This window comes from Homo sapiens, chromosome 14 (assembly GCF_000001405.40).
Source record: "Homo sapiens chromosome 14, GRCh38.p14 Primary Assembly".
Lineage (NCBI taxonomy): Eukaryota > Metazoa > Chordata > Mammalia > Primates > Hominidae > Homo > Homo sapiens.
In genome coordinates, this window is record NC_000014.9 from 106,241,957 (window position 1) to 106,267,788 (window position 25,832).

General features: G+C 38.9%; 3 pseudogenes and 1 further gene, besides 1 other annotated feature; all 4 read right to left on the reverse strand.

Annotated features, from left to right (window-relative positions):
* IGH (immunoglobulin heavy locus) overlaps positions 1-25,832 on the reverse strand; it is a 1,293,408-nt gene that overhangs the window by 655,520 nt on the left and 612,056 nt on the right.
* Positions 15,806-16,267, reverse strand: IGHV3-22 (immunoglobulin heavy variable 3-22 (pseudogene); annotated as a pseudogene). The gene is given in 2 exon segments: positions 15,806-16,118; positions 16,222-16,267. Coding segments are annotated over 2 exon segments (359 nt in total).
* Positions 15,915-16,082: a silencer, noted in NCBI's record as "fragment chr14:106714469-106714636 (GRCh37/hg19 assembly coordinates)". NCBI's record gives its function as "represses an EF-1alpha promoter that drives an FKBP-Casp9 reporter gene in an ReSE screen in HepG2 liver carcinoma cells {active_cell/tissue: HepG2}" and the evidence as "EXISTENCE:reporter gene assay evidence [ECO:0000049][PMID:32094911]".
* On the reverse strand, positions 21,404-21,672 carry IGHVII-22-1 (immunoglobulin heavy variable (II)-22-1 (pseudogene); annotated as a pseudogene). The gene is given in 1 exon segment: positions 21,404-21,672. A coding segment is annotated over 1 exon segment (269 nt).
* On the reverse strand, positions 22,730-22,917 carry IGHVIII-22-2 (immunoglobulin heavy variable (III)-22-2 (pseudogene); annotated as a pseudogene). The gene is given in 2 exon segments: positions 22,730-22,770; positions 22,873-22,917. Coding segments are annotated over 2 exon segments (86 nt in total).

The window sequence follows — 25,832 nt, forward strand, 5'->3', positions numbered from 1 at the left end:
AAAAATATCAACGCTTAGCTGATGATCTTAAATACAAATGAATGAAAAAACATCATTATCGACTTTGCTTAGATAATTTGTGCCAGATTATTTCAAATGAAATTTGTTGCATTTCAACTCTATAATTTATAGACAAACTGGTTATCAGATTAAATAAACACTTTGAGGAAACAGCAGAGGTTAATTCTTGATGAGGAGTGACGAGCTAGCCACAAAATCCTGGAAGAACCCTAACACTGGGACTTAGACAGAAACCAAGTCACAGGGCCCTTTGGACACCTTTGGGTAAATTTTCCTCAATTTCTACCCTTAAGGGGATGTGAATGTATTTTATTTATCATCCATCTGTGTTCTCCGTGTCTTGAAATAATTCCTTGAGAAAAGGCTACAGCTCTTTCAGTTGATTAAAAGCTTCTGTATTTTGTGTTTTTAGCCTGTAAACTGCCAGGGTTTGCATGAACTGAGTGAAGAACACCCATGAAAGTATTATAAAGTGATTATGTGAGGCATGGCTGATAGTAAAGGACAACATTGTGAAAACCTCCTACAATCTTCCACATAAGTTTAAAAGAATGGTATTCTTACATTAAAATTATCATAATTTTAATAAACCCTGGAACTCCCTTGGACAAATGTACTGCTACTAACACTGTGGCATTATGGTCCTCTACCTCAAGGACGTATCTGCTATTGTCCTATGACTTGGTAGCTGGAAAAAATTCATTTAGAGGTTTTACCTCCAATACTAGCCTTTGCCACACTGCATTTGGATGAGGCAGAACACTCAAAGAGATCATGTATTATGCTCACTCCTATCATGAACAGATTAAAGCTGCCATTCTAGTATGTCTTTTTAGCAACAGCCTCTTATAATATTCAGCCAGAAAAATTTATACGCTGGAAAAAATTTTGGAGAAAAAGTTTTCTTGAAACACTGGAAGGAATCATATTAATCTTTTTATTATACTTTTAAGTTCTAGGGTACATGTGCACAACGTGCAGGATTTTTACATATGTATACATGTGCCATGTTGGTGTGCTGCACCCATTAACTCCTCATTTACATTAGGCATATATCCTAATGGTATCCCTCCCCACTACCCCCACCCCATGACAGGACCCAGTGTGTGATGTTCCCCATCCTGTGTCCAAGTGTTTTCATTGTTCAATTCCCACTTATGAGTGAGAACATGCAGTGTTTGGTTTTCTGTCCTTGTGATAGTTTGCTCAGAATGATGGTTTCCAGCTTCATCCATGTCCCTACAAAGGACATGAACTCATCATTTTTTATGGCTGCATAGTATTCCATGGTGTATATGTGCCACATTTTCTAAATCCAGTCTATCATTGATGGACATTTGGGTTGGTTCCAAGTCTTTGCTATTGTGAATAGTGCTACAATAAACATATGTGTGCATGTGTCTTTACAGCAGCATGATTTATAATCCTATGGGTATATACCCAATAGTGAGATGGCTGGGTCAAATGTTATTTCTTGTTCTAGATCCTTGAGGAATCGCCATACTGTCTTCCACAATGGTTGAACTAGTTTACAGTCCCACCAACAGTGTAAAAGTGTTCCTATTTCTCCACATCCTCTCCAGCACCTGTTGTTTCCTGACTTTTTAATGATCACCATTCTAACTGGTGTGAGATGGCATCTCATTGTGGTTTTGATTTGCATTTCTCTGATGGTCAGTGATGATGAGCATTTTTACATGTGTCTGTTGGCTGCATAAATGTCTTCTTTTGAGAAGTGTCTGTTCATATCTTTCACCCACTTTTTGATGGGGTTGTTTGATTTTTTCTTGTAAATTTGTTTAAGTTTTTTGTAGATTCTGGATATTAACCCTTTGTCAGATGGGTAGATTGTAAAAATTTTCTCCCATTCTGTAGGCTGCCTGTTCACTCTGATGGTAGTTTCTTTTGCTGTGCAGAAGCTCTTTAGTTTAATTAGATCCCATTTCTCCATTTTGGCTTTTGTTGCCATTGCTTTTGGTGTTTTAGTCATGAAGTCCTTGCCCAAGCCTATGTCCTGAATGGTATTGCCTAGGTTTTCTTCTAGGGTTTTTATGGTTTTAGATCTAACATTTAAGTCTTTAATCCATCTTGAATTAATTTTTGTATAAGGTGTAAGGAAGGGATCCAGTTTAAGCTTTCTACATATGGCTAGCCAGTTTTCCCAGTACCATTTATTAAATAGGGAATCCTTTCCCCATTTCTTGTTTTGTCAGGTTTGTCAAAGATCAGATGGTTGTAGATGTGTGGTATTATTTCTGAGGGCTCTGTTCTGCTCCATTGATCTATATCTCTGTAGTGGTACCAGTACCATGCTGTTTTGATTACTGTAGCCTTGTAGTATAGTTTGAAGTGAGGTAGCGTGATGCCTCCAGCTTTGTTCTTTTGGCTTAGCATTGTCTTGGCAATGTGGTCTCTTTTTTGGTTCCATATGAACTTTAAAGTAGTTTTTTACAATTCTGTGAAGAAAAGTCATTGGTAGCTTGATGGGGATGGCATTGAATCTATAAATTACCTTGGGCAGTATGGCCATTTTCATGATATTGATTTTTCCTATCCATGAGCATGGAATGTTCTTCCATTTGTTTGTATCCTCTTTTATTTCATTGAGCAGTGGTTTGTAGTTCTCCTTGAAGAGGTCCTTCACGTCCCTTGTAAGTTGGATTCCTAGGTATTTTATCCCCTTTGAAGCAATTGTGAATGGGAGTTCACTCATGATTTGACTCTCTGTCTGTTATTGGTGTATAGGAATGTCTGTGATTTTTGCATACTGATTTTGTATCCTGAGACTTCGCTAAACTTGCTTATCAGCTTAAGGAGATTTTGGGCTGACACTATGGGGTTTTCTAAATATACAACCTTGTCATCTGCAAACACGGACAGTTTGACTTCCTCTTTTCCTAATTGAATACCCTTTATTTCTTTCTCCTGCCTGATTTCCCTGGCCATACTTCCAACACTATGTTGAATAGGAGTGGTGAGAGAGGGCATCCCTGTCTTGTGACAGTTTTCAAAGGGAATGCTTCCGGTTTTTGCCCATTCAGTATGATATTGGCTGTGGGTTTGTCATAAAAAGCTCTAATTATTTTGAGATAAGTCCCATCAATACCCAGTTTATTGAGAGTGTTTAGCATGAAGGGCTGTTGAATTTTGTCGAAGGCCTTTTCTGCATCTATTGAGATAATCATGTGATTGTGATCTTTGGTTCTGTTTATATGATGGATTACGATTATTGATTTGCATATGTTGAATCAGCCTTGCATCCTAGGGATGAAACAAACTTGATTGTGGTGGATAAGCTTTTTGATGTGCTGCTGGATTTGGTTTGCCAGTATTTTATTGAGGATTGTTGCATCGATGTTCATCAGGGATATTGGTCTAAAATTCTCTTTTTTTGTTGTTGTGTCTCTGCCAGGCTTTGGTATCAGGATGAGGCTGGCCTCATGAAATGAGTTAGGGAGGATTCCCTCTTTTTCTGTTGATTGGAATGCTTTCAAAAGGAATGGTACCAGCTCCTCTTTGTACCTTTGGTAGAGTTTGGCTGTGAATCCGTCTGGTCCTGGACTTTTTTTGTTTGGTAGGCTATTAATTATTGTCTCAATTTCAGAGCCTGTTATTGGTCTATTCAGGGATTCAACTTCTTCCTGATTTGGTCTTAGGAGGGTGTATGTGTCCAGGAATTTATCCATTTCATCTAAATTTTCTAGTTTATTTGCGTAGAGGTGTTTATAGTATTCTGTGATGGTAGTTTGTATTTCTGTGGGATCGGTGGTGATATCCCCTTTATCATTTTTTATTGCATCTATTTGATTCTTCTCTCTTTCTTCTTTATTAGTCTTGCTAGTGGTCTATCAATTTTGTTGATCTTTTCCAAAGACCAGCTCCTGGATTCATTGATTTTTTTGAAGGGTTTTTTGTGTCTCTATCTCCTTCAGTTCTGCTCTGATCTTAGTAATTCCTTGTGTTCTGCTAGCTTTTGAATGTGTTTGCACTTGCTTCTCTAGCTCTTTTAATTGTGATGTTAGTTTCAATTTTAGATATTTCCTGCTTTCTCTTGTGGGCATTTAGTGCTATACATTTCCCTTTAAACATTGCTTTAAATATGTCCCAGACATTCTGGTATGTTGTGTCTTTGTTCTCATTGGTTTCAAAGAACATCTTTATTTCTGCCTTCATTTCATTATGTACCCAGTAGTCATTCAGGAGCAGATTGTTCAGTTTCCATGTAGTTGAGCAGTTTTGAGTGAGTTTCTTAATCCTGAGTTCTAGTTTGATTGCACTGTGGTCTGAGAGACAGTTTGTTATAATTTGTGTTCTTTTACATTTGCTGAGGAGTGTTTTACTTCCAACTATGTGGTCAATTTTGGAATAAGTGCAATGCGGTGTTTGGAAGAATGTATATTCTGTTGATTTGGGGTGGAGAGTTCTGTAGATGTCTATTAGGTCCTCTTGGTGCAGAGCTGCGTTCAATTCCTGGATATCCTTTTTAACTTTCTGTCTCGTTGATCTGTCTAATGTTGACAGTGCGGTGTTAAAGTCTCCCATTATTATTGTGTGGGAGTCTAAGTCTCTTTGTAGGTCTCTAAGGACTTGCTTTATGAATCTGGGTGCTCCTGTATTGGGTGCATATGTATTTAAAATAGCTCTTCTTGTTGAATTGATCCCTTTACCATTATGTAATGGCCTTCTTTGTCTCTTCTGATATTTGTTGGTTTAAAGTCTGTTTTATCAGAGACTGGAATTGCAACCCCTGCTTTTTTTGTTTGTTTGCTTTCCATTTGCTTGGTAGATCTTCCTCCATCCCTTTATTTTGAGCCTATGTGTGTCTCTGCATGTCAGATGGGTCTCCTGAATACAGCACACTGATGGGTCTTGACTCTTTATCCAATTTGCCAGTCTGTGTCTTTTAATTGGAGCATTTAGCCCATTTACATTTAAGGTTAATATTGTTATCTGTGAATTTGATCCTGTCATTATGATGTTAGTTGGTTATTTTGCTCGTTAGTTGATGCAGTTTCTTCCTAGCATCGATGGTCTTTACAATTTGGCATGTTTTTGCAGTGGCTGGTACTGGCTGTTCCTTTCCATGTTTAGTGCTTCCTTCAGGAGCTCTTGTAAGGCAGGCCTGGTGGTGACAAAATCTATCAGCATTTGTTTGTCTGTAAAGGATTTTATTTCTCCTTCACTTATGAAGCTTAGTTTGGCTGGATATGAAATTCTGGTTTGAAAACTCTTTTCTTTAAGAATGTTGAATATTGACCCCCACTCTCTTCTGGTTTGTAGAGTTTCTGCTGAGAGATCCACTTTTAGTCTGATGGGCTTCCCTTTGTGGGTAACCCGACATTTCTCTCTGCCTGCACTTAACATTTTTTCCTTCATTTCAACTTTGGTGAATCTGACAATTATGTGTCTTGTAGTTGCTCTTCTCGAGGAGTATCTTTGTGGTGTTCTCTGTATTTCTTGAATTTGAATGTTGGCCTCCCTTGCTAGGTTGGGGAAGTTATCCTGGATAATATCCTGAAGAGTGTTTTCCAACTTGGTTCTATTCTCCCCGTCACTTTCAAGTACACAAATCAGACATAGATTTGGTCTTTTCACATACTCCCATATTTCTTGGAGGCTTTGTTCATTTGTTTTTACTCTTTTTTCTCTAAACTTCTCTTCTCACTTCATTTCATTCATTTGATCTTCAATCACTGGTAACCTTTCTTCCAGTTGATCTAATCATCTACTGAAGCTTGTTCATGTATCATGTATTTCTCGTGCCATGGTTTTAAGCTCCATCAGGTTATTTAAGGTCTTCTCTATGCTGTTTCTTTTAGTTAGCTATTTGTCTAATCTTTTTTCAAGGTTGTTAGCTTCTTTGCAATGGGTTTGAACATCCTCCTTTAGCTCAGAGTAGTTTGTTATTGCCAATTGTCTGAAGCCTTCTTCTCTCAATTTGTCAAAGTCATTCTCTGTCCAGCTTTGTTCTGTTGCTGGCGAGGAGCTGTGTTCCTTTGGAGGAGAAGAGGTGCTCTGATTTTTAGAATTTTCAGCTTTTCTGCTCTGGTTTCTCCCCATCTTTGTGGTTTTATCTACCTTTGGTCTTTGATGATAATTTTTATCAATACAGCAGTAAAACTCCATGGAGTCAGTCCCTGAGATATTTTTTAAAAACTCAATAAGGAATTGAAATTTCCACACAATTAGAAGCTACTCCCATAGAGAGAATTTTTACTTACTGAATTAATAGACCAACCTTCACTAAGAGGCACTCTCCCATGGGATCCCAAACTTAAACAGATCTCTGTAACCTGCTGACATCTCAATGCACTTTTTCTCTAGATAGCTATAAATGCAAAGGCAAATTTTGTGTATTTGTGCATGAGTGATCTGAACACACCCTTGGCATTTTAACTAAATTTCATGGAAACATGATTACTTACTGTGAACTCACATTTCATGGCATTCAAAAATTCATCACCCTTATGATGGGGTGACAATATGTGCCTCAGAGAATATGCTGATGCTTCACTTGAACAAATTCTAGACTCCTCCCTTGACTTCATAGTTTCTTACTCAGTACAGATGTGTCTATGACCAAAACCCAACACTGATATCCAGCACTTTCTCCTCTTGTGAAATTTATTTTTTCTCATTGTTGGCCTGACTCTCTCTCTCTCTCCCTCTCTCTCTCTCTATCATTCTTTTTCTTGCCTTCTCATAATGATTTTCTGTATCATTCTGAAACCCGCCAACAGTATGCATCTGGAATCACGCCAATTACCAGCCTTAAAAAGAAAAATGTGCAAAGTCATAATTTTCTTAACAAGGTTAGAAAACTTCCTGCATTTCCACCAGGCTCATTAGAGACTCCCAGTGAGAATCATGGTCAAACATTATTTGTTTTTGGATCATACCTCAAAACTGAAACTGCTTTTTATAATGGTTATTCCTATTGCATTTCCACTATTGTACAAAGTAATATGAAGACTCCAAAATAAATTAAAAATAGAAATACCTGATGACGTGGCAAATCCTCTTCTGGGTATGTTCTGAAGAAGATAAAATCACCGCCTCATAAAGGCATGTGCACTCCATGTTCTTTGCAGCTCTACTCACAATAGCCCAGATATGAAAGCACCTCAGTGTCTGCAGGTGGGCAAATGGATAGAGAAAATGTAATCTATGTACGCAATAGAATATTATTCAGCCATAAAATACGATATCTTGTCATTTGCAACAATATGAATGGAACTGGAAGCCGTTATGTTAAGTTAAATAAGCCAAGCAAAGAAAGACAAATATGGCATCTTCTTACTTTTATGTCAAAACTAAAAAATTGGATTTCCTGAAGACGAAGAGTAGATTGTTGGTTACCAGAAGCCTGGGTGGATACAAGAGAGAAGGGGATAAAGAGAGGTTGATTACTGAATTCAGATACATAGTTATATAGGAGAAATAAAACCTAAATGTCTGATAGATCAGTAAGGTGACTATAGTTAAAAATAATCTAATGTACACGTTAAAATAACTAGAAGAGAGTCATTCCAATGTGCCTAGCATAAAGAAAATATACCTGTTTAACGTGATAGATATACCAATCCTGATCTGATCTTCACATATTTGTAAATGTATAAATATATTGCATGCTCCCATAAATTAGGTATATCTATTATTTGTCAATAAAGTAAATAATCTCCATGGCATGTTTTTACAAAAATATTTTTAAAATGCTCCAATTTATATACAAATACAAAAGCCTTCCAATAGCCAAAGTAATTTTGGGGAAAGTATAACAAAGCTGAATATATCATATTCTATAATTTCAAAATCAAATCTATCTAAATCAAAACAGTATAATGCTGACATTTAAACAGACATATACTCTAATGGAACATTATAGACACCTGATAATCAACCCACTTCTTCTCAATAAACTGATCTTTGACAAGTTGCCAAGAACACACAATAGACAAAGGACAGTCTCTTCAGCAAGTGGTGTGAAAACTGGGTATCCATATGTAGAAGAAATTAAATGGACTGGTTGGGCGTGATGGCTCACACCTGTAATCCCAACACTTTGGGAGCCTGAGGCAGGTGGATCACGAGGTCAAGAGTTTGAGACCAGCTGGCTAATATGGTGAAACCCTGTCTCTACTAAAAATACAAAAATTAGCCAGGCGTGCTGATGCACACCTGTAATCCCAGCTACTCGGGAGCCTGAGGCAGAAGAATCGCTTAAACCCGGGAGGCAGAGGTTGCAGTGCCCCGAGATCATGCCATTGCACTCCAGCCTGGGTGACAGAGCGAGATTCTAACTCTAAGGAAAAAAAAAAAAGGACCTTCCCTCACAAAATACACAGAAATCAACAAGAAATGGATTTAACACTTAAACGTAGACCTGAAAATTTGGTACAAAGGTATCCATGTATGGTTTGGAACAAAATGTAAATTAGTACAGCCATTATAAAAACAACATTAAGATTACTGAATGAATTGAACATAGGGTATACCCACTTCTAAGTGTACATCTAGAGAAAATGAAGTGAGTGTATCAAATATGCTCATTGTGAGGTTATTCATAATAGCCTAGATATGGAAAATAAGTCAATGTCCATTTATGAATGAACAGATAAAATGTGGCATATACATACATAAAATTGAATATTATTCAGCCTTTAAAAGAAGGAAATTCTTACATTTTCAGCATCATAGAGAACATTATGCTAATTAGAATAAGCCAGACACAGAAAGACAAATGCTGCATGATCTCATTTATATGTAGAATGTAAAATATTTCAGCTCTTGGAAGCAGAGTAGAATAGTAGCTCCCAGGCCCTGAGAGGAGGAAAATATTGGGCGATGTAGGTCAAAGGGTAAAAATTTCGGTTATGCAGGTTGATGTGTTTTGGCCCTGCGTTCCCCCTCAAATCTCATGTCAAATTGTAATCCCTACATGTTGAAGAAAGGGCCTAATATAAAGTGATTGAATCATGAGGTGATCTTCCTCTTTGCTGTTCTCATGATAAAATTCTCAAGAGATCTGATGGTTTAAAAGTGTGGCACCTCCCCGCTCACTTGCTGTTTTTCTCCTGCCACCATGTGAAGAATGTTCTTGCTTCCCCTTCACCTTCTGCCATCATTGTGTGTCCTGATGCCTCCCAGTAACACTTCCTGTTTAGCCTGCAGAACTGTAAGCCAACTAACCCTCTTTTCTTCATAAATTACCCAGTCTCAAGTAATTCTTTATAGCAGTGGGAAAATGGATTAATACAGAAAATTTGCACCAGGAGTGCGGTACTGCTATTACGATACCTGAAAATGGGGAAGTGACTTTGTAATGGACAGATGTTGGGAAAGCCTAGAAGGCTCACAAGAAGACAGGAAGTCGTGGAAAAGTGAAATTTCCTAGAGGCTTACTGACTGGTTTTGACCAAAGTGCTGATAGTGATATGGACAATAAAGTCCAGGCTGAGGTGGTCTCAGATGAAGATGAAGAACTTCTTGTGAATTGGAGTGAAGCTCACACTTGCTATGCTTTAGCAAAAAGACTAGCGGCATTTTGCCCCTGCCCTAGAGATCTGTGCTATGTTGAACTAGGGAGAGATGATTTAGGGTATCTGGCAGAATAAATTTCTAACCAGCAAAGCATTCAAGATTTTCCCTGGCTGTTTCTGAAAACATAAGTCCTATGCATTCATGAAAAGATGGTCTGAAATTGAAACTCATATTTAAAAGGGAAGCAGAGCATAAAAGGTTGGAAAAAAATTGCAGCCTGACCATCTGGTAGACAAGAAGAACCCATGTCCTGGGGAGAAATTCAAGCTGGCTGCAGAAATTTGAATAAGTAATGAGGAGCCCAATGGGGAAAATGTTCCCAGGGCATTTCAGAGATCTTTGTGGCAGCCCCTCCCATCACAGGCCCAGAAGCCCAGGAGAGAAAGATGATTTCATGGTCCAGGCCCAGTACCTCACTGCTCTGTACAGCCTTGAGACATGGCACCTTACACCCCTGTCTGTCTCGTGCCAGCCATAGCTAGAAGGGACCAAGTTCCAGCTCAGACCATTGCTTCAGAGGGTGCAAGCCCTAAGCTTTGGTTGCTTCCACATGGTGTTGAGTCTGTTGGTGCACATAAGGCAAGAACTGAGGTTTGGGAACCTCCTCCTAGATTTCAGATGATATATGAAAATGCCTGGATATTCAGGCAGAAGTCTGATGAAGGGGCTGAGCCCTAATGGAGTACCTCTACTAGGCCAGTGTAGAAGGAAAATGTGATGTTGGATCCCCCACACAGAGTCCCCATTGAGGCACTGTCTAGTGGATCTGTGAGAAGAGGGCCACCATCCTCTAGACCCCAGAATGGTAGAACCACCAACAGCTTGCACGGTGTGCCTAGAAAAGCCACAGGAACTCAATGCCAGCTTATGAAAGCAGCCATGGGCGCTGGACCCTACAGAGCCACAAGGGTGGAGCTTCCCAAGGCCTTGGGAGACCATCTCTTGTATCAGTGTGTCCTGCATGTGAGACATGGGGTAAAAGAAAAATTACTTTGGAGCTTTAACATTTAATGACTGCCCTGCTGGTGTTTGGACTTGCATGGGACCTGTAATCCATTTTCTGTGGCCAATTTCTCCTATTTGGATTGGGAGCATTTACCTAGTACATGCACCCCAGTTGTATCTTGGAAATAACTAACTTGTTTTTAATTTTACAGATTTATAGGGGGAAGAAACTGACCTTGTCAGAGGAGACTTTAGACTATAGATTTTTATGATTATGCTGAAATGAGTTAAGATTGGGAGACCGTTGAGAAGGGATAAATATATTTTGCAATGTGAGAAGGACATGAGATCTGTCATGGACCAGGGGTGGAATGATATGGTTTGTCTCTGCATTTTCACCCAAATCTCATGTTAAATTTTAATCCCCAAGTGTTGTAGGAGGGGTCTGATGGGGAGAGATTGAATAATGGGGGCGACCTTCCCCTTTGTGATTCTTGCAAGATCTCACAAGGTCTCATGGTTTAAAAGTGTGGCTCATCTCGCCTTGCTCTTTCTCTCTCTCTCCCCTGCCAGCATGTGAAGAAGGTCCTTGCTTCCCCTTCACTTTCCATGATGTCTGTAAGTTTCCTGATGCCTCCCAATAATGCTTCCTGTTAAGCCTGCAGAACCGCGAGTCAACTAAACCACTTTTCTTCGTAAATTTCCCAGTCTCAGGTAGTTCCTTACATTAGGGTGAGAATGGACTAAAACACAGGTTGAAATAGTTCTGGAGATGAAACGTAAAGCAATGTGACTATACTAATGAATATTGTATTATAAAGGTATCTTTTGCCAGAAGAGTAGATATTAGGTGTTTTTATCACACACACACAGTAAATTAAAGACATAAAATGATAACTCTCTGAGAGGACAGGCATGCCGATTACCTTGATCATGATGAGCATCTCCCCAGGTACATCAATACATCAAGTGGTGTACCCTAAATATATACAATTTTATTTGTCAGTGATAGCTCCATAAAGCTGAAAAGTTATAATGCATACCTATATATCTACATATTTTATCAATAAAATGTGTGAATATAAACAGAAGAACTTGTACAAAGATACTTATAATAGTTTTGTTTATGATGTTTATTTTGGAAACAAATTTAAATCCCATCAACAGGAAAATAGATATACATATTGTCACTTATTTACTTAATAAACAGATTTATTTATTTAATAATCTGTCATTTATTAATGTAATTGATTTAGATATGAAATATCTATATGTGTATGAGTACATACATATTTATACATATGATGACAAAACCTTGATAAATGCTATTACATGAATGAACCTCACAAATAGTAAAAGTTGCCCCTTACAAAAATGATCTATAATATTTTATTCCATGTATATGAAGTTCTAAACAAGAAAAAGGGACCTCCTATAGTGACAGAAATCAGAACATTTTTCTACTTGCATTTCTCTGATGATTAGTGATGTTAAACATTTTTACAATATATTTGCTGGGCACTTGCATGTATTCTTTTGAGAAGTGTCTGTGTCGTTTGCCTATGTACTAGTCCATTTTGAAACTGCTGATAGAGACATATCCAAAACTGGGAGGAAAAAGAAGTTTGATTGGACTTACATTCCACATGGCTTGGGAGGCCTCAGAAACACGGCGGGAGGAAAAAGGCACTCCTTACCTGGTGGGTGGCAAGAGAAAATGAGGAAGAAGCAAAAGCGGAAATCCCTGATAAGCCCATGAGATCTCATGAGACTTATTCACTATCAAGAGAATAGCACGGGAAATACCAGCCCCCATGATTCAATTACCTCCCCCTGGGTCCCTCTCACAACACATGGGAATTCTGGGAGATACAATTCAAGTTGAAATTTGGGTGGGGACACAGCAAACCATATCAGCCAATTTTTAAAGGGTTTTTTTTTTTTTGGTTCTTTTTGATTTGTTTATCTACAGACTCTGGATACTAGGGCTTTGTGGGATGCAATGCTTGTGAATATCTTCTCACATTCTGTAGATTGTCTGCTTACACTGCTGATAGTTTTGTTTGTTGTTTGTTTGTTTGTTTGTCTTACTGTGCAGAAACTCCTTAACTAATTAGGTCCCACTTGTCTATTTTTCTTTTTGTTGCAACTGGCCTTGGATACTTAGCCAAAAATTTTTTGTCAAAACTAGTGTCGATAAGAGTGTTTTCAAGGGTGTCTTCAAGGAGTTTTATGGTTTGAGGTCCTACATTTAAGGCTTTAATCAATTTTGAGTTAATTTTATATATGTTGAAAGTACAGGGTCAGCTTCAATCTTCATCATATGGCTAGCCCGTTGTCCCAGTATCATTTATTGAACAGGGAGTCCTTTCCTCATTGCTTCTTTTCATCAGCCTTATCAAATATGAGATGATTGTAGGTGAGCAGCAACACACCACTCAGAATGGTATCACAAAAAAGTCGAAAAACAAAGGATGCTTGTGGGACTTTGGAGAAAAGAGAACACTTATACACTGTTGATGAGAATATAAATTAGTCTTGCCACTTTGGAAAGCAGACTGGAGATTTCTCAAAGAACTTAAAACAGAGATATCATTTTACCCAGCAATTCCACTACAGGGTATACACTAAAAAGTAAATAAATAATTCTACCAAAGAGACACCTACACATGCGTATTCATGGCTGTGCTAGTCACAGTGGCAAAGACGTAGTTTAACCCAGATGCACATCACTGGTAGACTGAATATACAAAATATGGTACATCTACACTATATAATACTACACAGCCATGAAAAAGAATGAAATCATGTCCCTTGCCGCAAAATTAATGGAGCTGTTGGTCTTAATCATAAACAAATAAATGCAGGAACAGAAAACCGAATACCACATATTCTCCTATGTGGGAGCTCAGCATTGAGCACACATGGACATAAATAGAAGAACAATAGACACCGTGGACTGCTGGAGAGTGGAGGGAGGGGGTGATGGAATCTGGATTCCAAACCTCAGCATCACTCAATAATCCCGTGTGACAAGTCCACACACGTCCCCTCTGTATCTAAATTAAAAGTTGAAATTAAAAAAAAATCCTTATGTGAGAGCTGACTGGAAACACTGAGAGGACACTTGTGGAGATGGACCTGCTCCTCACCCTAACTTAGGTGCTGGAGACAAACGTGCACATTTGCCAGAAACCCTCAAACTGTACATTGAAGAGCTATGCATTTTTGTATATGTTATCTCATAAAAACAGAAAATAGACAATTGGAGGAAAATATTTTTATTGAAATTAAAATCTTAATAACATGCATATGAAAATTCAAATAGAAAATATAAATGTGATTATTACAATAATTATTTAAAGACATTTAGTTATATCTACTAGAATAAAATCCCAGAAATAAAAAAGATAAAGGTGACATCTTAAAACGAAAAACTAATAAGCACACATTTCACAAATAAGTAAAATATGGCTAAAATATGTTGAACATTTTATATTATTAGTTATACAAAGTTAATAAACTATTGATATAATATTGTAAACTGTTTTATTAGGATAAATTACTAACATTTTGTATCAAACCATAACTGGGGACAGCCGACAGAAAAATAACAATATTTGCAAGCACATGTTATAAATGTTAATATAGTCTCAATGTTGGCCCAACTCTTACACCTGAAATTTTCAACTATATCATGGATTTGTTTGGAGTCCTAGGAAAAATTAATTTTAAGAAATGACTTAAAGGAATTGTCTCCAATATGGAGATATTAGTATCTCATCTATAAATAAATGGAAAATACATAATACATGTCAAGTCCTTGTAAGAAACCCTGTCCCATGGAAAAGGGCTTATCCTATTTGTTAGTGATACATTTACTGTTAACATTATCACCTTCACGATGATTTAGAAAATTAAAGCAAAGCGTGATGAATTGAAGTGTGATGTTGCTTGTTTGGTACAACAGCGGGGTGAGGATAATGAAGAGCCCTGTGATCCCGAGGAGATGGCCTAATCCAAGGAGAGGGAGGCTCCAGGTCGTGTGGACTCACATGGGCTCCTGCTTCTGCCTGTCCCACAGCCACTCCCAGAAGCCTTCAGGAGACAGGGGTGCAGATGGGCCCTTGAGACCATCAAATGAGAGCTGGAACTGAAGAAAAAGATAATGATCTGGGATAAATTTTAAAAAATTAAAATAAAAAATTTTATTTTAAATTCACGAATTATGGTTGTTTATATTTACAAGGTAAGAAGCAATGTTATGATTTGTGAATACCATATGGGATAACTAAGATAATTAAGAAATGATTAAGATAATTATCATTTATCAATTCAAATTCTTATTATTTATTGTGACAACCACATTTGAAATAACCATTATTTAACAGTAGTTAAATGAACAAATATAAATCAATTGATGTAAACAATTAAAAATAACCAAAATCAATTGTGAAATACTCAAATAATTTACATTTAGCTCATCATTAAGTTTGATTCTTTAGGACATATTTTTAGAATTACTTTATTGTAATGTTTATTATGAATTCCTACACATATATGCATATGTCTTTGTATTTATATATTTTTTCTTTCTTTGTTTTGTTTTTGTTTTTTGTTGTTTTTTTGAGATCGAATCTTGCTCTGTCACCCAGGCTGGAGTGCAGTGGCGCCATTTAGCTCACTGCAATCTCTGCCTTCCGTGTTCAAGTGATTCTCCTGCTTCAGCCTACCGAGTAGCTGGGATTAAAGGCACATGCCAATACGCACAGCTGATTTTTGCATTTTTAGTAGAGATGGAGTTTCACTATTTTGCCCAGGCTGGTCTCGAACTCCTGGCCTCAAGTGATCAGCCCACCTATGGCTTCCAACGTGCTGGGATTACATGCGTGAGCCACCGCGCCTGGCCTATACATCTTTCTATGGTTATAAATTTATGTCCCTATAGCTTCGTAGCTGCTGACGTCAACAAATGTTAATAAAACTCTGGAAGAATCGGTGCAAATAGGAATGCTTATTTCATTAAAGTGTAAACATATATATATAATTTTTAAATTACTAAAATTTAAATACTAACGATAATAAATTCATAATAAACACAAGTAATAAAACGTCACAGCCTAGAAAGCTCCAGAGTCCGGCAAACACAAACCTGACTTTTCCAGCTGAGGAGAAAGGAAACCTCTCCCGGCACCTGCTCCTGTCCCGCCCTCAGTGGGTCCCTAGCGCCCCCTGGTGGCCCCGCGCGGCCCTGCAGGGAGGTTTGTGTCCGGGCTCACACTGACCTCCCCTCACTGTGTCTCTGGAACAGTAATACACGGCCGTGTCCTCGGTTTTCAGGCTCTTCATTTGCAGATAGGTGATGCTTTTGGAATCATCTCTTGAGATTGTGAATCTGCCTTTCACAGACGTGGTCTATTCTGTTGTCCCACCATTAGCTTTGTTTCTAATGAAACCTACCCATTCCAGCCCCTTCCCGGGAGCCTGGCGGACCCCGCTCATGTAGTAGTAACTGAAGGTGAATCCAGAGGCTGCACAGGAGAGTCTCAGGGACCCCCCAGGCTGTACCAAGCCTCCCCCAGACTCCACCAGCTGCACCTCACACTGGACACCTGCAAACAAAAAGAAACCCTGGTCAGAAACTGCCACACGTATCCACTGTTTCTCTCACTCTTATCCGCTCACACTCAATTTCAATAGTTCTCAATGAATTACCTTTTAAAATAGCGGCAAGAAAAACCCAGCTCAGCCATGACTCCATGGTGAGTCCTCTGTGTTCAGTCCTGATCACCAAATGAAAACATCTGAAAATCCCAGGGCTGGGGCTCCTCTCCCAGAGCTGCAGGGTCAGGGCTGGGCTGGTTTTCATCAGCAGAGGGAGGGCTCTATTTGCATGTCTCCTACTATATAGTAAGCTCTGGGGTGAGAGGCCTGAGGAGAGAGTGGGGCTCACAGCATGTGAGAGCGTCCTGGGGGAGATTTGTGATATTGATAGCATTTGGGAATTGTGGTTACTTATTGTAAGTTTGTTCTGTGGTAAACCCTTAAAACCTATAAATCTTATAATTTTGTAATTTTTATTTTAAAAGTTTTATTGAGGTACAATAGATCTACATAAACTGCATATTTTTGAAGTTCACACCAATAATCTTTTATTTTTACACATGCAGAGAAACCATGGTATGTAGTATCAATGTTATTTCCATGTTACAAATGAGAAATTACCAGCAGAAGCACAGATGGGTTGTACAGTGTCCCCAGAGCTCACATTTGGTCAGAGTGACCTGGGCATCTGGGCCTGTGCTTCTCACCACTGGACCTGACTTCTCCCTGAACCAAGCCCAGCACACAGGGGTTGCACCTAGTGAGGTTTACAGAACCATTTCTCTGTAATGGGAACATGGTGTGATGTGTATGCTCTTTTGTGATTACCTAACAATTGTAAAGAACAGCATGTTTCCCACAGTTTTATTTTCTTAAGTGTCATACATCTCTCATGTTCGTGTCTATCTTTCCATCAGTCTTTATCTAACAAATTATATATTCACTTATTTGCAATACCCTTATTGAGGCATTATTGCTATATAATAAATATTGCATAATTAAAGTGTGCAGTTGAATACACACTGAAGCCGAGCATGGTGGTGCACAACTGTAGTCCCAGCTACATAGGGCAGAGGGAGGAGGATTGGAGACCCAGGGTCTGAGGCTGCAGAGAGCTGTGATCTCACCACTGAGCTCCAGCCTGGATGACAAAGCAAGACCATGTCTCCAAAGAAAAAAAATGTAATTTCACATGTGCTCACCTGTGTATCCAAAATAACAATCAAGATAATGATGATTACAGTTAAAAGCTTCCCTGCTTCCCTGTGTTCCTCTCATTCCTGCCTCCCGTCATTTCTCTCTCACTATACTCAGTCAACCTCTCATCTTTGTTAATTCAGATCTATTTTTCAATATTTTGTTAAAGTGAAATCTTTTAGTTTCCATTTCATTTGTGTGGCTTCTTGCTCAGAATAATTACTTGTGAGTCAGTAATTTGATTGTGTATAAAGGTGTTGATTCTAACGAGGAACAGTATTCCAGTTAATGAGTACACCCCTATCATTTATTTATAAATCTCCTTAACATTTGTGTTATTTCCAGTTTCTGAGTATTACAAATGTATCTTCTACTCCGCCTGGAGATGTAGTCATCCAATAAAAAAGTATTATTTTTACAACAACTAGCCTTACTGAGCTACAAATTAGCACATTTTATTTAATACATGAGTTTATTGATGTATAGGGCAAATGAGAGAACTTACCTCTTGTGAAAATCAAATCAGTGACTTGTAAGGATAAACAGGAAAAGAATATAATTTTATCTGAGGCAGAGGCCAGCAAATGTCATATAAGTTAATGCAAGATTAAATTAGATATATTTACCCGATTGCTTAAAATTAAGTATAATGAAGAAGTTATTATTTAAATTTCCACAGGACTTAAAACTGAGAGACTCCTATTGCTATTGAAACCTTTCCTCCCAAGATTGAGGACACATCACAAAAATCTCCACCCTCTTCCTCCCGAGATGGTTCTGTGTGGGAAACGGAACAGCAGCTGTGGCTGAAATGCATCCAGACCCAGCTCCCTCACCACCACTACATGACCAAAGAATTAACATGCAGGGGCAAAGCCACTGACAGCTCTGTGTTACAGGCACTGGAGGAACTCGTAGAAACTGGGGTAGAAGAAAGAAAAGCTCCAAAGCTCTGTCCATTCTTTCAGGAATAACAGCCTCATCTCCCACCTCCTCTCTCTTCCCTCAGGAATAACAGACTCATCTGCTGGGAAGGGCAGAAAAGAGGAAGCTGAAGACATCAGTGGGAAGACATAGTGGCTGCTGGGAGAAGATTGGGGAAAGAACAAGGAGACCCTCTACCCAGGAATGGGAGGAAGATGCATGGATCAGCATCACACCTGCAGGAGGGGCAGGGATACTTGGAAGGACACGTCCTGAGCCAGGACTGCCATGTCTGCCTGGAGTGTGGCTCCCTCAGAAGGACAGAGAGTGCCCGTTCAGTGCAACCCTTCCCACCACATTGACAATCATCAGGTCCATGTGGCTCTGGGATGACCTGGGGGAGATGAAAGACAGAGTCTCTCTGGAACACACAATTTAAGGCCCAATGCCAAGCAGGAAACAAAATTAAGGTGTCACTGGAGGAATCTGGGTGTCTGGTGGCTGCAGAGGAAACCCACTGCAATTCAGGCAGCCACTGTGACAATGAATTTCAAATGTAGCCCTGACTGGTTTCACACAATTTTCTACAATAAAGGCCTAGAAAAGATACGGCATGATCATCTACAAAAAAAGTCATAAAACAAATAATTATCTAATATAAAGGATCTGATAGAAGTATCTGTGGAACATACATTTTGAAATAACTGCATAAATACTTTGAAAATTTACACTTGATCCCATAGTTAGTCTATGCGTAACTTCGTAAGAAACTGCCAACATGTGCTTATTTTTAATAACTAATACTTTATTACTATCATGCTTTTGAATGTAACAGAGACCACAGAGTAGATTCTATCGATAAAAAGCCAACTTTGGAAAATACTTAGAGAGATTTATTCTGAGCCAAATGTGGGGTCCATGCCCTGTGACGCAGCCCCAGAGGATCCTGATAACATGTGCCCAAAGTGGTTTGATTGCAGGTTAAATTTAATAACATCAATTGATACATGTGAGATATCTGTTGATTTGTTTCATAAAGACAAAACAGCTAGAAGTGAGGCAGTGTGGGGAGATAATTACCGCTTACAGGTGAATTAAATGATTTTTCAATTGGCAATTCATTGAAAGACTTAAGTTTTTATCTAAAGACCAGAAATCAGTAGTAAAAAGTGTCTGGGTTAAGATAACAGGTTTTGGAGAACAAAATTCATATTATGCAGATGAAGTCTCTTATGTGGCCACGCTTAGAGGAAATAGATGGCAAATGTTTTTCTACTAAGACCTTTAAGAGATGCTAGACTTCCAGCTAATCTCCTCAGTATAACGAAAGACCTGGAAAGGGAAGGAGATTCTCTACAGAATGTAAATCTCTCTCACAAAGGATAACTGTGCAGGGCGATTTAAAAATATGTCAAAGAAATATATTTTAGGGTAAAAGCCTTCGATTCCTTTCAAGGCCTGCTCTGTGTCACATGACGCTATTCTCGAGTCAGGTTAGAATTTGGTATCTTATTGCTACACGGAATCCGTTTTCTGAGCCTTGAGTCCTCTGTTTTCATGAAAATGCTGGTCAGTTGTGCTTGAATTCCAAAGTGAGGAGGGTATAATGAGGCATTTCTGATCTGTTTCTAATGTGGCCTGAACTAGGTTTTCAAGTCTCTGGAACTCCTTGGTGAAGAGGAAGGTTCCATTCAGTCAGCTTGGGCGCTTAAAATTCTACTTTTAGTTTATTGGACATATATGAGACTTACCCTACTCAGGGGTATCAGAAAATATTTACTGAGGTAATCACATTGAAGTTGAGACTTGAAAGATAGTCTCAGATTCCTCCCTGCAAACCTTTTCTCCTGAGACTAGAAGAAGAAAACTTAACCAGAAACAAATACTAACATTTCTTCAATGTTCAAAATCGCCACCCATTAGGAAAATAATTAAACTTGCAAGGCTTATCTTTAGAAACTAGTATAACGATTCCTAATGTCCTTTAGAAAAACACAGATTCTGATTAGTTTACAGATTATACAGAACGTCCCATCCAATGGCAATCTGCAATTAGCTGGATTCCCTTCCACTGGTGTTTTTTAATGTGTAATTTAAATAGATGCATAATAGTTCAAAACCTTTATGTGGTACATGTGATATTTCGAAAAAAAGAAAATTATGTGCATATCTGGATAACTGGGACAACCTTCAACCTTCATCTCAATCATTGACTACTTCTTTGTGGTAAGAACATTCTAAATGTTATCTTCTAGCTAATTTGAAATACACAATAAATTATTAACTGTAGTTGTCTATGTGCCAATTCAGCATTCTCAGGAGCAATGGGTGAAAATTCCTGTTTTTCAACTTCCTCGTCAACATTTGGTATTGTCTATATTGTGTATTTTACCCATTCTATTAGGTTACTAGGATTTTTTCAATATTAAACATACATTTACCTAATGAAAATCCAGTTGGTCACTTTTTATACTTATTGTTAGATGCACTTTCTATTCAGGTCTTTGCCCATTTTAAAATTAAATTGTGTGGTTTTGTTGTTCAATTGTAAGGTAATTTGTATATTTGTAATAAAAGTCCTTTTCCAAATATTTGATTTGCAAGCAAACTCTCCAAATCTATGGCTTATCTTTTCACTCTCAGATAAGGGTTTATTTTCAAAGGCCTAGGTTAGTTTATCCATCTATGAAAAGAGGATAATTGGCCAGGTGCAGTGGCTCCTGCCTGTAATTCCAGCACTTTGGGAGGCTGAGGCGGTTGGATCACCTGAGGTCAGGAGTTTGAGACCAGCCAGGCCAACATGGTGAAACCCCGTCTCTATTAAAAATACAGAAATTAGCCGGGCATCGTGGCAGGCGCCTGTAATCTCAACTACTTGGGGGGTTGAGGCAGGAGAATTGCTGCAACCTGGGATGCAGAGGTTGCAGTGAGCCGAGATTGCACCATTGAACTCCAGCCCAGGCAACAACAGTGAGACTCAGTATCAAAAAAAAAAAAAAAAAAAAGGAAAAAAAAGAGACAATTATCATTCTAACTTCTAACTTAGAATTCTTAGCATAATAACGTAGGTTGTAAATATTTCAGTATCTGAAATATATACCAGTTTTGGTAAAACACTAGGGAGGAAAATTTGTAGAGTGTTCTGAGCGCACAATGGCTTCCCCTCGCTGTGTCTTTTGTATAAAAATCATGGTTGTGTACTCCTTGTTAAGGTAGCTCAGCTGTAGGAGAAACTGTTTTTTGGATGTGGATCTGGAGATGGTGACTGGACTCTTGAGGAGTGGGTTGGATTGTGCACTCCCTCATGACCTGTGCACCTGATTCGCTCCAGTCCCTTCCCCGGGGGGTGACGGATCCAGCTCCAGCAGGAAGCACTGGTTGTAATGGAGAAGCAGAGATGCCACAGGCCAGGGGGAGGATCTGTGAGGGCTTCACCAGGCCAGGAGTGCACCGAGAATCACAGTTGTCGGCATGCACAGGTTCTGAACAACATGTTGAAATTCACAAATTTGCACATTTTGATGAAAATGAAGAACTCACTGTTTTGCAATTTGTAGGTCCCCGAGAGCAAATAGCAGATTCAGAGGTTAGAATTAGATGAATATATGGTCACATTTTTTCTTCAAACTTTCAACCAAATAAGAAAGACAAACTGCGGACAGAAGAATGGGTACTGGATTATTACCTCTGTCTATAATTACGGTGATTTTCAGAATAAGATTGACCTGTGATAGCCCAAAGGGTGTCATAATCCCGAATCCACAATTAGACCTGAGCAGCAATCACGGGCAGTGGAGGTCGCCTCACATGAGGAAAGATCTGACTCTGCAAAGCTGCACACGGGGGTCTCTGCAGTCCCTGAGTTGTACAGGAACAGCTCCTCCCTCAGACTCAGAGTGAGGACAATGTGCTCTATCTGGGGGAGGTGAGGGTTAGTGTGTGGAAAGAACCAAACTCACTCTAATCAGTATCTCTGTACTTGGACAGAAATCAAAGTTTACAAGAAATCATGAACTTGGGGTAAAGCAGGAAATTACAATTGTTTGCAGGGTGCATGCTTGCTTCTCCATGTCGTCTAAGAGAACCAAGGAAAATCGTGATTTATTATGTACATTTCCATAAAAGGTGTTTCCACCCTGAGAACGCACCTCCTATACCTCCAATGTCAGGGAGCACGTGGACCAGGCACCCGGCACAGCTCTCTGACACCATCACCCAGTTTTTGACAAAGAGACACATCCTGGAGCTCCTCCCAAACAATGACTGTGCACAGTGAAGTTGCTAACGCGTGGCTGCTGCTGGGCACATGGGAGATTCCCGATGGACAGCTATGCTCTGGGAAGAACCAATGGCCTTGATGGAATTAGCTTGGACCACAGGGTTGTTAGTAAGCTTCATCAGACTCCCACCTTCTCCAGCACTCGTGGTGGGATTGGCATAGTGGGCTGACAGTGTCTACAGCCTCACCCGGCCTCCTGCACACTTTTCTGCCTCTTGTCTCTCCCCTACACTCCACCACCTGCACCTCACACTAGACACCTACAAACATAGGGACATTTTGGTCCGAACCTGCCACACATAATCACTGTATTTTCACTCACATCCACTCATGCTTAATATCTCTAGTTCTCCATTATTTGCCTTTTAAAATAGCAACAAGAAAACCCAGCTCAGCCCTAACTCTATGGTGAGCCATGTGTGTTCAGAGCTGATTGTCAAATCAAAACTCCTGGTAATGCTGGACTGGGGCTCTTCTCCCAGAGCTGTAGGCTCAGGGCTGCGATGGTTTCCATCAGGAAAGGGAGGGCCCTATTTTCACGTCCCCTCCTCTGCAGCAAATGCTGAGGTGGGATGCCTGAGGAGAGAGCAGAGCCCAGGGCAGATGTGAGACTCCTGGAGGAGTTTAGTGTTGATGGCAGCATTTGGAAAATATAATTTCTTGTTATGTGATTTTCTCATTAAAATTACTAAGCAAATATTTTTATTTCTCTTTTACATATTTGAAAAACTAGAAATATAACTACATTTATGAAACTTTAAGATGTATAAAAGGAGAAATAGAAAACTATAAAAAAATTAGGAGACTTCAAAACCTCGCCTTCAATAATGTACAGAGCATCCACAGAAAAATTCTTAGGAAGCCCGTGGACTTAAGCACTCTCGAACAAACTGCCCTAACAGACATCTACGGAACATTCCAACCAACAGCAGCGTAATATGCATGCTTCCCAAGCACACTAGAGATATTCCTCATGATGGGTTATATATTAGATAACAAATGACTCTCAGCGTTTAAAAAAGTGATGACAACCGTTCTCTAACTTTTTAAAAAATCCGTGAGGTCCCCACCTTCTAATCTCTTTCTAAGAGGCTCCAATCACTGTATTACCAGTAATAGACAAGGCAAAAGAAGAAAACCAAACTTCTGACAAATGTTCTTAGTATATGTAAACAAGCTACTCCCAATTCATAGTCAACTAAGTTCTATAAGACTTTAAAAGGATTGTACACCATGACAAGCTCCAAATTATTTTTGAGATGCGCTGATGAATCAATATCTTCAAATCAATAAATCTGATGTGGTAAATTAAGAGAATAAAGGAAAAGCATCAGTTAACTTCTCACCAGACATAGAAAATAACATTTAAAAAATTCAAGATCTCATAATAAAACCTCTAAAAGTTAGGAATACAAGAATATAACCTGTATATAATAAAAGTCATTATTTAAAGCCATACTTTTATATGGAAGAGTGAAAGGTTAAAATATTTTGCTATAGCATCTGTAAAAAGGCAAAAATAAACTTACATCTTACTTCCAGATTTCAAAAGTAATAACAAAAGTAGAATAATAAAAACAGGATGGAGTTGGCATAAATATGTAGAAAGAGCTCAGAAATAAACTGATGTATCAATGGCAAACTGATTTTCAGCATAAGAACCCACAATATAAAACAGATAAACCAAGTCTCTCCCTATGAATGTGTTAGAAAAACTGGATGTACACATGCAAAGAGTTAAGAATTTTGGGTTAGAATAAACACAAAAATCACTCTGAATGGGCCAGATATTTAAACATATGGCCTGCAATTGTAAAATTTCCCCGACCCAGAAAATAATATATTAACAATGATTTCCTATATTTCACATTAAAGGCACAGACAACAAAAGCAGAATTAAACAGGTGGAACTACATCACAACAAAAAGATTCTACAAAGTGTGGAAATAATTCCAACCTACAGAATGGGAAAATATAATTGCAAGCCATGCATCTGAAAAAGGGATGACATCCAAAAATACATGCAACATCTACCACTCATTAGCAAAATCATATTTGCCTGATTGGATAGTGATCACTTTTTCACCTTAAAAAATTATGAACATAGATCTCATGTTAAAGATTCTTCCCTCTGGGTAATGGTAAATTTGATGGTACACTTGGTTAGGATAGACTTTGTAGTTATTCACTGCAACACTAATATATGTGGTGCTGTGAATTTACTTAAGACAAGCAAAACAGGTGGGCCTGATTCCATCAGAGCAGAACTGGAGAAAATGAAATTCCATGGTGTTTCAGCAGCTTTGCCTCTCTCTGGGACCTCCAGCCTGCACTTATTGATGGATGATCTTCTGGACACTGGGTATTCCCAGACATCTCCAAAAACTGTCATCCTCCACATCTCACAGAAAAGTGGCATGTCTTTTGTCCTTGCGATAGTTTGCTGAGAATGATAGAAGGATGGTTTCCAGTTTCTTCCGTGTCCCTACAAAGGACATGAACTCATCATTTTTTTCCTCACTCATAGGTGGGAATTGAACAATGAGAACACATGGACACAGGAAGAGGAACATCACACTCCAGGGACTGTTGTGGGGTGGGGGTAGTGGGGAGGGAGAGCATTAGGAGGTATACCTAATGCTAAATGACGAGTTAATGGGTGGAGCACAACAACATGGCACATGTATACATATGTAACAAACCTGCATTGTTCACAGGTACCCTAAAACTTAAAGTACAAGAATAATAAAATTTTTAAAAAAAGTCATAAAAAAAGAAAGTGGCATGTCCATCTGTAGCTTGTCAACCCTGAATAACAGAGAGAGAGAGACTCTAAAATATAATAATATGTATTCTAGGAAGTGTATTGCAATTGAAATGTATGGGTGCATTCAGGTTGGTATAGGAAGATAAAGAATAAAGGAAAAATGAGGAGGGTCACATCAGCTGTTTAAGACAATTGTCCTGGGCTAGAAGGATCAATAACAGGGGCACATCGGTGTAAAGTTGAACAGGGAGTTGCTGGGCAGATACACTGGGAGAAGTAATTCTTTTAATGTTGTGGTGGCTTCTGTGCAAGGTTATGGTTGTGCAGAGTCTATTTATGGTAGTTCTTATTATCAGGAATATGTGTGTTAGAACCCTCCTTCATGGCCTTCCCCAGCTTCATTCATTAGGGCTTTAACACAAGTGGCTCCATCTTGATTCTGATAAATTTCACCAGCTCTTTCTAACACTACTTCTGAAGCAGACGACTCTGACACTGTGCACGGAACAGGGTTAACTCCACATCCACATCCCATTTTGATCAAATGAGTTTGTC